The following is a 14,481-nucleotide window of genomic DNA, read 5'->3' on the forward strand; positions in this document are numbered from 1 at the left end:
TCATAGATTGTGTTGACTGATAGATACGTAAAAATCTCTGTAGCTAAACTCAGAACCACGTTTGGAATTGGGGTGTGTGTATGTGTCTCAGATCCATTTATTTAGTAAAAGAGAATCTGAGCGAAGAGGCGTAGTTCCACAATCATAAGCAAATATGGGCATTTAGACTGACAAGACGATGAGTTGAGACTTGTAAGATTTATCAGTTGCTGTCTTCTTAGCATTCTAGTGTGGGCTGTGAGACAAACACAGGTCATGAGCAACCGCTCTGTAAGAGGAAGCAAGCCCCCATATTCCTATCAAGAAGGGGTCGAACACATTGTTTTTTCTGTTATGGCATTCTGGAAATTCTCAAAAATGTCATGTGATTATGTATTGAAAAAGAAGGATTTTCCTGCCATAAATATGAGAAACCTAGACTAGAGATTTTTCCCAAAGAAAACTGTATTTGAAGTTTTAAAAATACTGTATTACATATTTACCATATTACCTTATTCCACATTTTTTATTCAAAGTATCTGGGATTTTTTATTTTTAAGTTTTAATATAAGTCATAACACTTTTTGAATCTTAAATTGGGAATTCACAATAGAGATTTCATTGACTCCAAGATTATTAAAAATTTAGAGAAACTATAGACATTGCTAACCTTACAGTTAAATTTTTTTACTTGTCTAAAATGTCTTTCTACTTGGGAAATTGGACAATGATAAAAAATAGCAGAACATTAAATAACCTTTTAAAAATCCCTAAAACGTATTTTAAATCTGAAAATGAAAACAATAGACTTCATCATAATTTTTAAAGAGCTCTATTGATGCAATGTTTGCAAGTCCCTAAAGCCTCAGGAAAATCATCTAAATGGTTCATTATTTAGCTTATTGAACTTTGCTGCAGTTAGGTTGACGGATGATAGTAGTGTTTCCCGATCACCAAAGTACCGTTTTAAAAGCATTTTTTATCGAATAAAGTGCTTAGAATATTGCACCCTGGAGCTTTATTTAGGGAAATGGTTCAATTGATGTTTTCTATTTAACCTCAGCTCTGACCTATCACAACATCTATGGTTAATAAGCAACATTATCATTTGAGAGACTTAACTAGTTTCATCCACTGTGCACCCATACCATCCTCTTAAAACCCTGTTTGTGGCGCTGTGTCATCTCGGTCTTTAGGAAGGATGCAGTTTAGTAAGTAGAGTGCCCTAGTTTTAGTCGCTGATACACAGTTGCTGTTCTTCAGGAAATAAGCAGTCTTTGATTTTCATTTTTCCTGAAGGAGAAACAATCTTTCTCCTTACCTACACATGTGCATAGATGAATCTGTATTATACAAATAATTGAATTCTGAGGAATTAATTTTAAATCCTTAAAGGTCCTGTGAGGCATAAGCAATTAAACACTTGAAGTGTGATGTGTCTTGTGTGGTATGTGTGGTGATACGATACTTGAAGGTAGATGTGATGGTGATTGTCAAAGTGTAAATAACTGATTTCGTATTCATAATGTGGAACCTACTTATGCCCCGGTCATTGTTTCTTATGATAAGTGATCAATATTTCATTTTCTCTAAGAGAGTAGAAAGTTCTGCTTGCCTATCACTTGCTCTCCGCAGGCTCAGCATAGCAGGCTCTAGCTGAGCAAACGTTAAATGCTCTCTGGAAGTTCCCTCACAGAATTAAAATTCAGCCCTGTTTAACTGTTAGGGCATATGTCCAGTGCAGTCGCAGGACACCAGCACCGAACTAGTGGCATGAGCCCTCGGAGAAGGACAGAAGCTCGGTGGGCAGAGCCTCTGAGTGCAGAGGGTGTCAGCTCAAGCGCTGAAGGCGTGGGGTGGAAGGAACTTTGAAGACCGCCGGCTTCTTTTGGTCCAGAAAGAGTGACTGTGATTCTTAATGACTGCTTATTCCTCTAGACTAGCTGTTTAGTAGTCTCATTCTTTTCCCTCTGTGGCTGTGTTTTCTCATGTTGGTAAGTTCCGTATTTAAATAGTATTTCAGAATGTAGCTGTCATCGCCTGACTCCAGTATTTATTTGCAAGAATCAGCTATAATTAATGACAGAGCACAAGTGGGTTATTAATAGTATTGCTTTTGGGTTTACAGAAGTAGGCACTAATGCATGAGGCGTGCTGTATTTTTTAATTCATTTTATCGTGTGTGCCTATTGAAGCAAGACTAATTGTGGGGTTTTGTCAGATATATTTGTGAGGAGCAAATCATTGTCAGTGACATAAAGCCTTCACACTGTGACCTTCAGGACCAATAGAGAATAAATACTACGTAGCCTATCTGTGAATATTGATTAGCAGCTTTTTCAGATGATCAAATTGCATCTTATGTTAATAATTCCATTAAAATATAGAGATGATTATAATAACCACAATCAAAAATGATGAAATCTCAGTGATTAAATTATGATGTACAAAGTGCATGGTAAGAAAATGTATATTTTTACAGTGTAGCGGGTAGCTGCCTGTGTGAATTGCTAATATGATAAAGGAAATTTCTTCCTAGCTTTTAAGAACAGTAGCACAGAAATTTCTGAATAATGGAATTATAGAGAATTATTAATGGTAAGAATTGCCCCGTATTTTGTATTCTCTCATATGATATTACTTCTGGCTGTGCTACTCTTGGGTCTGTTTCTCAGAGTGGTTATTTAGCATGGAGAAGTGCAAGTGTGTAAACAAATCGCCTGTGGCAGAGATTACTTAACTGTGTTGCTAAGCAGCCTGTGCATGAGATTCAGCTCAGGTTCCCACTTACATATATTTTTTTGCATTCACATCTTAGTTATTTTTTGCCTTTGAATTGTCAAGAATCACATTATTAGAGATTTTTGACAGCTCAGTATCAGAGAACTAGTCATTTGAAGTGTACTAAGCCTTTAAATTCTGGTCTTTCTGCATTTCAGAGAAAAATATCTTAGGGATTACTTCCTATCATAATGTCAGGCAGCAGTTAATTCCATATTAATATAGAAGCACACGAGGAGTACTTGATAAACTACTCTGCCAGTTTTTTATTGAATACGGACACAATCGCTTTGAAAGAGAAAATCAAGTGATGACATCGGAAACAGGATTATTAGAGAGCTCCTGACTGAGTAAAGAAAAATCTAAATGACAAATGGCCGGTCGTGCAGGTGGAGATTGCGTTCTGTGGTTGCCTGCGCCATCCCTGAGAGCATCCAGAGAAAACAGGGAAAAATGTCCACTGCAACCTTCCACCCGCCGCCTGAATGTGAGGGCTGCAGCCACGTGTCACCTGCTGCTGTGGAGACAGAATCTGAGCCGCACACCTGAGAATTTCCATCCACCCCTCAGCAGCCTTCTTCCCATGTCTGTCCTGTTGGCAGCTAACATGTTTAGTATACAGTCCAACCAAAGACTGCAAATAATAACCTCAAAGAAGCTGTGGCAAAGAGGGCAGAGATCAAAGTGGTCTCTGTGGGAAAGTAGCTCTTGCAGGGATCCACCTCCCAAATGTGGTCAGCAGTAGCAGTGACCTCAGGACAGCAGCCCCACCGCAGCGCAGCCAACACGTCAGAGAGCACCTGGTACCCTCACCAGATGCCATGTGCATCAAGAGAAAGAAATGAACATATGTTAACTTGGCATCAAACTAAAAACTCAGTAAGAAGAAGAACAAAACCAAAGGAAAGTGGGAGGAAGAAAAAGTAAAGGAAAACATACAAGTAATGATTGAGTAAGCAGTAATTCAAAAGCTGATTCTTTGAAAGGTTAAATGAAATCGGAAGATTATTGGCAAAACATAGTAAATACAAAACAGCGAATGTAAACTAAGTTCACACATATGAAACTATCCATATGTAAGAGTGTATAATAAACAAGTAGGCTTAAATGTTTATAAGAGAATATGAAATACAGCTCAAATGCTTATGTTTTCAAAGACAGTAAAATAAGTGTTTTCTGGAGAAATATAAATTTCAAAATTGACTCCATATAAATCTGAGTAGACGAGAAAAGAAATTTAGAAAAATCACCCAAAATGGCTTTTGACCAGTTTTATAGGTCAGTTGTTTTGAGGCACAAATAAATCATATACTGTAAGAACTTTTCTTGAGCAAGAAAAAGTTTGGCAATGATGTCTAAGGACACAAAAAAAGCAGAAGTTCTGAAAAAAATGATAAATTGAATATCAGAGTAAAACTTATTTTTTTCAAAAGACATTTATTAAGAAAATAAAGACAAATTAGGATTTCAACATAAATTTGAAAAAAGAAAATAAAGATAAGCCAGAGACTTGTAGGAAATGTTTGCAGAATACTTACCTGATAAGTGACTAGTATGCTGAATATATAAAGAATTCTCAAAACTCAGTAATGAGGAAACATCACCTGAATTTAAACATTGGCAAAAGATTTGAACAGCTACATCACCAAAAGAGATATGAATATTGACTGTAAAATACCATAAAAGTAGTGATTTGTGGGGTCTAATACAGAAAAAATATTAAGATACATGATGATAATAGCCAAAAGTCAAGAGGCGATTGATGTCAATGGGAGTAAATTACTCTAAGGTCCTTAGAGTACAGGTAAAGGTGCTGATTTACTTAGACTTTGGTAAGTTCAGGATTATGCTGGCAGCAGTGGGATGACTGCCAAAGAGCAGTAAAAGAGCATGTACCTCTCCGGGGTGGTGGAAACATGGCCATTGCATGGTAGAATGCACACAGGGCTCCTTGCAGAAATGGCTGATTCTAGAACCAAGGCAGGAAATACCCAGACTGAGCCTGGAGCATCTGGTACTGCCAGGAAGTAAGGAATTGCTCAAAGCCAGCAAACAAACAGAAAAAGCTGCCTGCATGGCAGGGGATGTGTCGGAGGGACACAGAAGCCAACTGGAAAAGCTCCCTGTGGTGAATGCTGGAACAGCATGAGCAGCAAAGTCAGTTGTACTGGATTATAGCCCATAGTATGAAACAAATAATGCATGAGTCCAAACTGATATGAATAAATAAATGAATGGGAGAGAAAGACAGATCGCCCATGCAGAAGGATTCCTGTGCAAAAGGATCATGTATGTAGCTACTGAACCCGCAGGTTGGGGAGCATAATTCCTCTTCCTTTAGGTGTGGGCTACACACGATGACTTCGTCCCAAAGAGCATGGTGTGAAAAGGGGAAAGGAAGAGTAGCTTGACGACCTCAGTCAGGTGAGTAGGGTCAGCATCAGCAGTGAAAAGTCGTGTTGCTAGATGCAGCCCCCACAGGATGTGGTCAACAGCACCTCACCTTCATGGTCTTCCTCCCCAGCCCCACAGCCCCAGTCTACTCGTGAGAAAATCATCAGACAAATAAAACTGAGCGATACTTAACAAAATACCCGACCAGTACTTCTCAAAACTGTGGAGGTCATCAAAAACTAGGCAGGTCCAAGAAACTGTAGCAGCCAAGAGAAGACATGAAAACTAAATGTGACATCCCGGATGGGACCTGGGACAAGACAAGGACTTGAGGTAGGAATGAAGGATGTCTGAATCAAGTATGGATTTAAGCTTTTAAAAATGGAACCTGCTGCTTGCTCAGATTTTATTGACAACTTGAAGAAACACTGTGTATATGCACCTTTCAGAAAATTACCAAATAAAAGTTCAGATATGTTTTAAGTGCTTTGTCTTTTTTTGTGGTTATTTTACAACAGTGGTTTAGCCAGTTTCTTCTTTGTGGTATCTGGCCTTTAGTATTTATCTTGTAATTGTATGGAAGACACAGGGTCACTGCAGGATAGCATGACTTCAGGTCCCACTGTAGATCACCCAGTAATATTTCCTCTGCAGAACGAGGTGACCACTCTGGGTGGTGTGGTCTTCCTTTAACTCGTGTCCTTGTGAAATTAGAAAAATGTTAAAAATGTTAGGGAAGAAAAGTGTGTTTCTGGGCACAGGGTCATCATGACCAGCTGTGTGGTATTCTGGTGAGTGCCAGCATCTCGGCCACCCATTTCATTCACACCTGGTTGTGCCTTCACTGGAGGGTCTTGGATGTTCTGGGACCTGCAGTGGAAGGAAGCAAGAAAGGGCTTCTCGGCTTCACTTTCAGGCAAGTTGGAGACCCATGTCAGACACTAAAAATAAAAGTTGAGGAACAAACATTTTAGCACTGTTAAATATTGTCTCTTGTTAAAGACACGTAAGCTGCCTTCCAGAAGTGCTTCAATAAGAAAATAAAATGCCCTTGTATATGTAGTGTTTGAAATGTGAGTGAATAGAGAGGGAACAGTTCCCTAGGGGTCCCTGCCTCTCCTGGCTAATGTGAGTGAATAGAGGAGGGGCCCCCTCCTCTCCTGGCTAACGTGAGTGAATAGGGAGGGAACACTGAACAGTTCCATAGGGGCCCCCGCCTCTCCTGGCTAACGTGAGTGAATAGAGGGAACACTGAACAGTTCCTTCCGTAGGGGTCCCTGCTTCTCTGGCTTGCGTTGTCCTCCTCATTGTTTCCTTCCCTACGTCTCCACTTAACATGACAAGTCCTGTGGCTGGAATCACTGTCCTCAGTGTCTCTCCCACGTTGATAGCACAAAAAGATTTAAGGAAACCGGCCTGAAGAATATCTGTACCGTATATCCATTTCATTTATTGCCAGAATTTAGTTTCTAGTTCCTCGGGATTAAACTGATTGTAGAGGTGATGCATGTATGTGATTCTCCATGTAAATAAATCTAAAATAAAGTCCTGAAGCAAATATTGCCATGACTTCTGCATCTACAGAGCTTGGCTTACAGGAGTACTCTTTGATTTAATTAATTTATTATTAACCTATTTACTTCTTTCAGGTGATTTGCATTTTATATGCAAATAAATGGTTGAGAGGCACACTAGTAACTTCAGGGAGAGAGCGACTCTCTTTAAACTCAGAGCCCAGATTGCTCTGCAGCAGCCCTGTGCTCACCAGGCTGTCCAGGCCCTGGAGAGTCCTGACACGGAGTGCCGAGAACGTGCCCATTTATGGTTTTGCCTGTGTCTTCAGAATTCCACTCAGCTTTCCACTTTTAAATCATTTTAAATAGGAGATCTTTTAGCTTTCATTTATTCAAGAAATAAGTCGTTGTGCTTGTTCCTGAGTCTACATCGGTGAGCACAGTGCACCTGGACCTGTGTGGGGAACTGAGGTTCTGGGAGGGAAGGAGCCCGGACCTGGGAGTGTTGGTCCCTAGAACGCAGCGGAGGCGCAGTGCGAGTACGTCCTCTGCCAGGGGAAGGGGAGGGGCACACAGCACTCTGATCAGGTGGTCAGCAGGGCCTTTTGGAGACCTGGGGTTGAGCCGAAAGTAAGACTGCCTGGTGGAGAGTGATGGGGAGGGCCTGGCTGCGCGGCCGGCACTCCACACACACCAGGGGCATGAGAGGCCCAGGGCCAGGCCAGGGGGACAGTCAGAGAATGGGTCTCTAACAAATGTATTTGTCACTGAGCTAGCTGCCGTCAGTCTCCATAACTGTGTCTGTTGTTGGAAGATAAACCCCAGTCTTGCTTGGACAGCTTGATTCTGAAGTTGGGAGTTGAAATGACAGGTTGTCTTTACTGGATCTGCATATGGACCATCTGGTTGGCTGGCCATGCAGAACTCCCACCCCCCTCCAGCCCTCGTTGCTTGTAGAACCCTATCCCACTTCCTCGGGATGCTGTGGGTTTTACACTGGGAGGGAGCTTACATACTAGGAAACTCCGGGATGCTGTGGGTTTTACGTTGGGAGGGAGCTTACATACTAGGAAACCTTGGGATGCTGTGGGTTTTATACTGGGAGGGAGCTTACACACTAGGAAACCTCCGGATGCTGTGGGTTTTATGCGGGGAGGGAGCTTACATACTTTAGGAAAGTGTGTATATTTTAATCTCTCAAACATCTTTAGGAAGATAATAGACTCAAACTTATCAATCCTTTACAATTTTCTTTTAATTTCTACATCTACTGTCCCTAGATGTAAGTTATTTCTAAGAGCCTTCTAAAAAGAACACCATGACTATATTTCAGATATACCAAGAGAATTCGCTAGGCTGCTTTCACCTAGTCAAATCCCCACACTTACGTGCTGCAGAGCTGCAGAGCATGAATTAAGATATGAAAGCTCAAAACCAAAACCGGAGAATCTGCCGTGTCCGTGGGAACCAGCCGTTCCTTTGATGTATCTTCAATAAGGAGGACCAGGTCTGCGTGAAGTATTGAGTACTTAGGTATGAATTCAGGAGCAAAGATGCTAAAAGTACTGCATGTCCTCACTGAAATTATTTTTCTTGTAGTTATTTCATCTAGCAATTTTTTTTTTTTTTTTGAGGCAGAGTCTCGCTCTATTGCCCAGGCTGGAGTGCGGTGGCACGATCTCAGCTCACTGCAACCTCTGCCTCCCGGGTTCAAGCGATTCTCCTGCCTCAGCCCCCCAAATAGCTGGGATTACAGGCATGTGCCCACCACTCCTGGCTATGTTTAATTTTATATTATCGAAATTCTGTCCAACAACAGGCAAGTTACATGAGAACAGTAATTAAAGCATCTATCATGAAAAATTTGGATATTCTTTTTTTCTGGTTGGCATTATATAGAGTTAATCTTCAAGATGATTACAAATTAAAAACAATTGGATGGAATGCTGGGCTAGGTATAAGAAGCTAAACTGATTTTTGTTATAAGCTGCTCTTTGCTCAAATGGATTGTGAAACCAAGCATAAACTAAATAATAAACAGATGTGAGTCACCAAATATAGAAAGCTCAGTCCTGACTGCAGTGGGGCACCAGTGAGATGACAGGGTGTTCACGGAAAGATGCAATTTACAGGTCAAAATGTAATCGTAACCTTTCACTGTGTAAATTGGAAATTAGCCTCAGGAGCGTTGGCATAATTTACAGCTTGTGGAGAAGAAGTTTTATTGGAGGAAGCAATGGTAGAGCTACACCCTCACTTCCCACTGGAGATGGTGATGCACAGGTGCCACCTCCCTCCCCTTCGATGGGTGGTAGTCCTGGCTGACCCCCACGTGCCTTTTTTGGTAATGTGGAGTGTATCGCTGATGCCCTGAATTACAGGACTGCGTCATCCCTAGCACAATTTTAGACTCTCGGTGTACTTAGTAACATGCAGGAAAGTCGGAGAGGGAGAGTTCTAATTCAAGCCCCGTGGGTGACACCCTACTGAACGTTTAACACAGGCATGGAATTCCAGAGTTGTAGCGTCCATAGAACGGCAGTGCCGTCCAACCTCTAACCCAACGTCAGAATTGAGACAGCGAGTGTTGACATCTGCCACCATTGCTGCACGGCACACCATCCCAAATGTGGGGCACAGAACCATTCCGACATTCTCCTGGCCGCACCCTCGGGGCACGGTCAGGCAGCTTCCATCAGTAGGAGAGGGTTCTGACCCGGATTCCACCCCAGGCAGGGGCAGTGGGGCCAAGTGGCTTCAGCCCTGGCCACATCAGCACTTCCTCAGTGAGTATGTCCTTTACTGATTTCTAACAAAGCATGAAAATTACAAGCAAAGAATTTCCAGACAGCAGTTTCTCACAGTATTTGGCACACATTAAGCATTGGATTTGCTCCTATTTGTGTAATTTATGTTCTTACTAAGATTCTTAAGCAAAACAGACCAAAGTCAAAATTTGCTAATTTCATTTATTTTCAGCAAAAGGAAGACACATCAATCATGTTTGAGAGTGGGAAGCTTCAGGTTTATAAAGGTCAAATTCTAGGTGCCTCCCAGAGCAGAATGTTCTCAACATGCAGCAAAGTTAAATATGGTACTTCAGACAGAGTCAGACCGTCCTGAAATATGGTAGAGACTCGGGGCCTTTGATTTAGTCTTGCTTTATGTTTTATGTCTTTTTTAAGTTTTTAAATTTTAAATTATTCTGGGTACGTAATAGTACATACTTATGGGGTACATGTGATATTTGATACAAGCATACAATATGCAGTGATCAAATCGGTAATTGGGATACCCGTCACCTCAAGCATTTATCGTTGCTTCGCGTTAGTAATCCTCCGTTTATCGTTGCTTCGCGTTAGTAATCCTCCGTTTATCGTTGCTTCGCGTTAGTAATCCTCCGTTTATCGTTGCTTCGCGTTAGTAATCCTCCGTTTATCGTTGCTTCGCGTTAGTAATCCTCCGTTTATCGTTGCTTCGTGTTAGTAATCCTCTGTTTATCGTTGCTTCGCGTTAGTAATATTGCAGTTCCATTCTTAGTTATTGTAAAATATACATAAATTATTGTCAGTGAAGGTCACCCTATCATGCTACTGAGCGCTGGATCTTATTCCTTCTATCCGACTGTATTTTTGTACCCATTCACCAGCCCCCTTTATCACCCCTATCCCCAATATCCTCAATGTCCCCGATATCCTTCCCGGACTCTGGTAACCATCATTCTACTCTCTGTCTCCAGGAGTTCAACCTTTTTTTCTTAGCTCCCACATAAGAATGAGAAGACCCAGTGTTTGTCTTTCTGTGCCCGGCTGATTTCACTTAGCATAATGTGCCCCTGTTCCATTCACATTGTTGTAGATGAAAGGGTCTCATTCTTTAGTGATGGCTGAATAATACTCCATTGTGTGTACACCACGTTTTCTTCATCCGTGCATCCAGTGGGGGACACAGGCTGATTCCATAACGTGGCCACTGTGAACAGTGCCGCAGTACACGTAGGGGTGCCGAGATCTCTTCAGTGTACTGATTTCCTTTCTTTGGGGGATATTCCCAGGCGTGGGATTGTGGATTATATGGTGGCTCTGTGTTTAGATTGGGGGTAACCTCCATGCTGCTCTCCAGAGGGCTGCACGAATTTACATTCCCGACAACAGTGCTCCCTTCTCCCACCTCCTCCCTCGCCAGCATTTGAATTGCTGTCTTTTGGATAGAAGCCGTTTTAACTGGGGTGAGGTGATACCTCATTGTAATTTTTATTTGCATGTCTGATGATTAAAGGATATTGAGCATGCTTTCCTATACCTGTTGGCCGTTTGTGTGTCTTCTTTTGAGAAATGTCTGTTCAGATCTTTTGCCCATATTTTAATCGAATTACTCATTTTTTTCCGATTAAGTCGTTTGAGAATATACAATGATCTGGTAGATTCTGCTTATTAATCTCTTCTCAGTGGGTAGTTTGCAAATATTTTCTCTCATTCTGTGGGTTTTCTCTTCACTTTGTTGATTGTTTTCTTTGCTGTGCAGTGGCTTTTTAGCCCAATGTGATCCTGTTTGTCCATTTTTGCTTTGGTTGCCTGTGCTTTTGAGGTCTTATTCAAGAAGTCTTTGCCCAGACCAAAGTGCCCTGGAGTGTGCCAGCCTATTAGGCACATTTTCAAATTTGATTAGTGGTTTTAGATACCAAGCAGATATTACCCATATAAGGGTGTCTTTTAATTTTTCAGTCCACCCACAGATACAGATGTCAAGCAGAAAAGGGTTGAGGTCTGTCTGACTCACTCTTGGGGTGTAGTTCTTCAGCCAGCGCTGTGGGCTGAGACCAGACCCTGCCCCACATCCCACTACCTGGAGGACCAACAGGTGCTGACCAGGTACCCAACAAATTGCACTGGCCCTTACATGCAGGGTTGATTAATAAGAGTAAAGGCTCTTTTCCCTTAAATATGGAAACGAGTTGTCTCACTTCAGAATGTTGCTTATAGAAAAATAGTAATTCTATACCATTAAGTCTTCTTAATTGCTGGTCTAATATGTAACATTTTGCTGTCCCTGAATTTATAAATAGTTAACTATATGGTCTTATTTGTTTAAATGAAATTTGTATTTCTAGATGATAAATTCGGGCTGAGGAGAAATTCCAACATTGTACATAGTCATTCCTCCTTCAGAAAGCAGGTTTTGAAGTGTGTTCAGCAGCTGGGGCTGTGGAGTAAACCAGTGGGGCTGGAGAGCCATGTGGGGAAGATGAAGGCCGTGGCCGAAGACAGACCCGGTCCCTGCTGGAAAAGGGAGCCCACAACCCCTGAGCCCCTCTCCCAGGTTCTGGGGAGGAGGGACCCCAGATGCCGGAGGACACAGGTCGTTTGTGTGACGCATTCTTTCCTCCCCAGTCTAGAGCAGGACTAGCTGGTACTCTCCCTGGAAATAGAAAATGGTGCCTCAGATCACTTCTGCCCTCTGGGATGCAGATGAAGAACTTGAGTTGAGAAAAGGTGTCTGACTCTCCCATCTCTTATGCCTTTTCTGTAGAAGTGCACGTCGGATTTTGTAACTGAAATGACTGCAAATGTAGGATAGTAGTTACAGTTTCTCTCTCAATACTGCTTTTCCAGAATCATTCTATTCCATATATCATAAGCTCACTTTACTTTGTAAACTTCTTAAAATATGAGAAATTTGTAAAAGGTAAATGCTGATAGATTGAGTACGCACCATTTGAAACTGTATAAATATGTGTGTGTGTTTATTATCCTAAAACAGTTGGCCTGTTTGTCTATTTAATTCCTTAACTAGAGCCTAAAAAATGTTTGGGAAGTCACCTGAGGTCACATGACAGGGAAGGAGCGGGGGCTTTTGCACTGCAGGCCTCTCAAAAGCATGCCTGTGGGGCGAGGTCAGTGGCAGTGGCACCTGGGCAGCCCTGAAAAGGAGGGACAGGTGCCTGTCACCTCCACGCAGCACCGGTGACACCATCGCGATCCCTGGCTTTGCTCCCGGCACTCCCCACTTGCACGCAGCATCTCCAGAGCCAGAAGAGACATGGCGTTAGGCTGTTTTCCATTATCTCTGCACACTCCATTCCTTCACATGGTGTTAGGGTGTCATCTCTGTACCCTCCGTCCCCTCACATGGTGTTAGGGTGTCATCTCTGTACCCTCCCTCCCCTCACATGGTGTTAGGGTGTCATCTCTGTACCCTCCCTCCCCTCACATGGTGTTAGGGTGTCATCTCTGTACCCTCCCTCCCGTCATATAGTGTTAGGGTGTCACCTCTGTACCCTCCCTCCCCTCACATGGTGTTAGGGTGTCACCTCTGTACCCTCCCTCCCCTCACATGGTGTTAGGGTGTCACCTCTGTACCCTCCCTCCCCTCACATGGTGTTAGGGTGTCATCTCTGTACCCTCCCTCCCCTCACATGGTGTTAGGGTGTCATCTCTGTACCCTCCCTCCCCTCACATGGTGTTAGGGTGTCATCTCTGTACCCTCCCTCCCCTCACATGGTGTTAGGGTGTCATCTCTGTACCCTCCCTCCCCTCACATGGTGTTAGGGTGTCATCTCTGTACCCTTCCTCCCCTCACATGGTGTTAGGGTGTCATCTCTGTACCCTCCCTCCCCTCACATGGTGTTAGGGTGTCATCTCTGTACCCTCCCTCCCCTCACATGGTGTTAGGGTGTCATCCCTGCACACTCCTTCCCCTCACATGGTGTTAGGGTGTCATCTCTATACCCTCCCTCCCCTCACATGGTGTTAGTGTGTCATCTCTGCACACTCTCTCCCTGCACATGGTGTTAAGTGTCATCTCTGTACCCTCCCTCCCTGAGCTCACATGGTGTTCGGTTTCATCTCTGCACACTCCGTCCCCACACAGTGCCCTGCTGTGTCAAGTTCAAAGCATGAAAAAGAAAGGAAGCAGCTCTTCACACCCAGACACTGGAAAATCATGCTAGAGGTATTCTGTGGTCAGACGTGTGGGGAATTGCTTAGAAAATCTGATTTTAAAGGTAGTTCCTGGTCTGCCCACGAGTGCATGTCTGGAGGGCTCCTGTGAGAAAGCTGAGGGTAGAGCCCTGGCATCCTCCTGGTGGCCTCCCTGTGCTGACTGTCCACTGTGCTGACTGTCCACTGTGTGCCCTCACACCTCATTTCTCGAATCCTTGCTGCAGCTCTGAGTGGTGCCTCGGCACGGCCATTCTGTAGACAAGGACCCTGGGGTTGCAGAGGTGCAGCCATTTGCCCAGGGTTCGGTCCTAACCTGAGCAGCTGGCCACAGAGCCAGAGCTCTTGAGAACTTTGCTACAGTCTCTCTAAGAGTGTGAACTCATCCTCACAGGAATGTTCAGAAGGCCCTAAGATTGATTTAATATCCTGTGCACTAGACAACATTTAAAATGTTCCTGAAGTGACTTGAGTTCTTAGAACCTAAGATTTTAAAACTGTTTGGCTGAGAGTGAGGTGGAGGTTAAAACTGAAGGCAAGGACGTGCTCATCGGAAGAGGTGGGTGAGAATGAGGTTGTGGTTTAAGAAGAGGACTCACCCAGGCTGTGAGGGGCTTCAGCACTGTGGGTGGCGGCAGGCCTGCAGAACAGAGAGGAGACCCTGAGGGAAGCAGCTGTGTTACTGGGCTGTGCTGCAGTGGTGTGGGACGTTGCAGAGAGCGTGCTCTCCATGGTTAGTGTGCTCCCCATGGTTAGCGTGTTCTCCGTGGTTAGCGTGCTCTCCGTGGTTAGTGTGCTCTCTCCATGGTTAGCGTGCTCTCCGTGGTTAGCGTGCTCTCCGTGGTTAGCGTGCTCTCCGTGGTTAGCGTGCTCTC

The 14,481-nt window shown here is 43.4% G+C and overlaps 1 protein-coding gene across 37 annotated transcripts in view; it reads left to right on the forward strand.

The window, feature by feature from the left end:
- Positions 1-14,481, forward strand: part of ATP9B (ATPase phospholipid transporting 9B (putative)) — a 308,890-nt gene that overhangs the window by 243,708 nt on the left and 50,701 nt on the right. The gene's annotated exons all lie outside the window — the stretch shown is intronic.

The sequence above is a fragment of the Homo sapiens genome, chromosome 18 (genome assembly GCF_000001405.40).
Source record: "Homo sapiens chromosome 18, GRCh38.p14 Primary Assembly".
Taxonomy (NCBI): domain Eukaryota; kingdom Metazoa; phylum Chordata; class Mammalia; order Primates; family Hominidae; genus Homo; species Homo sapiens.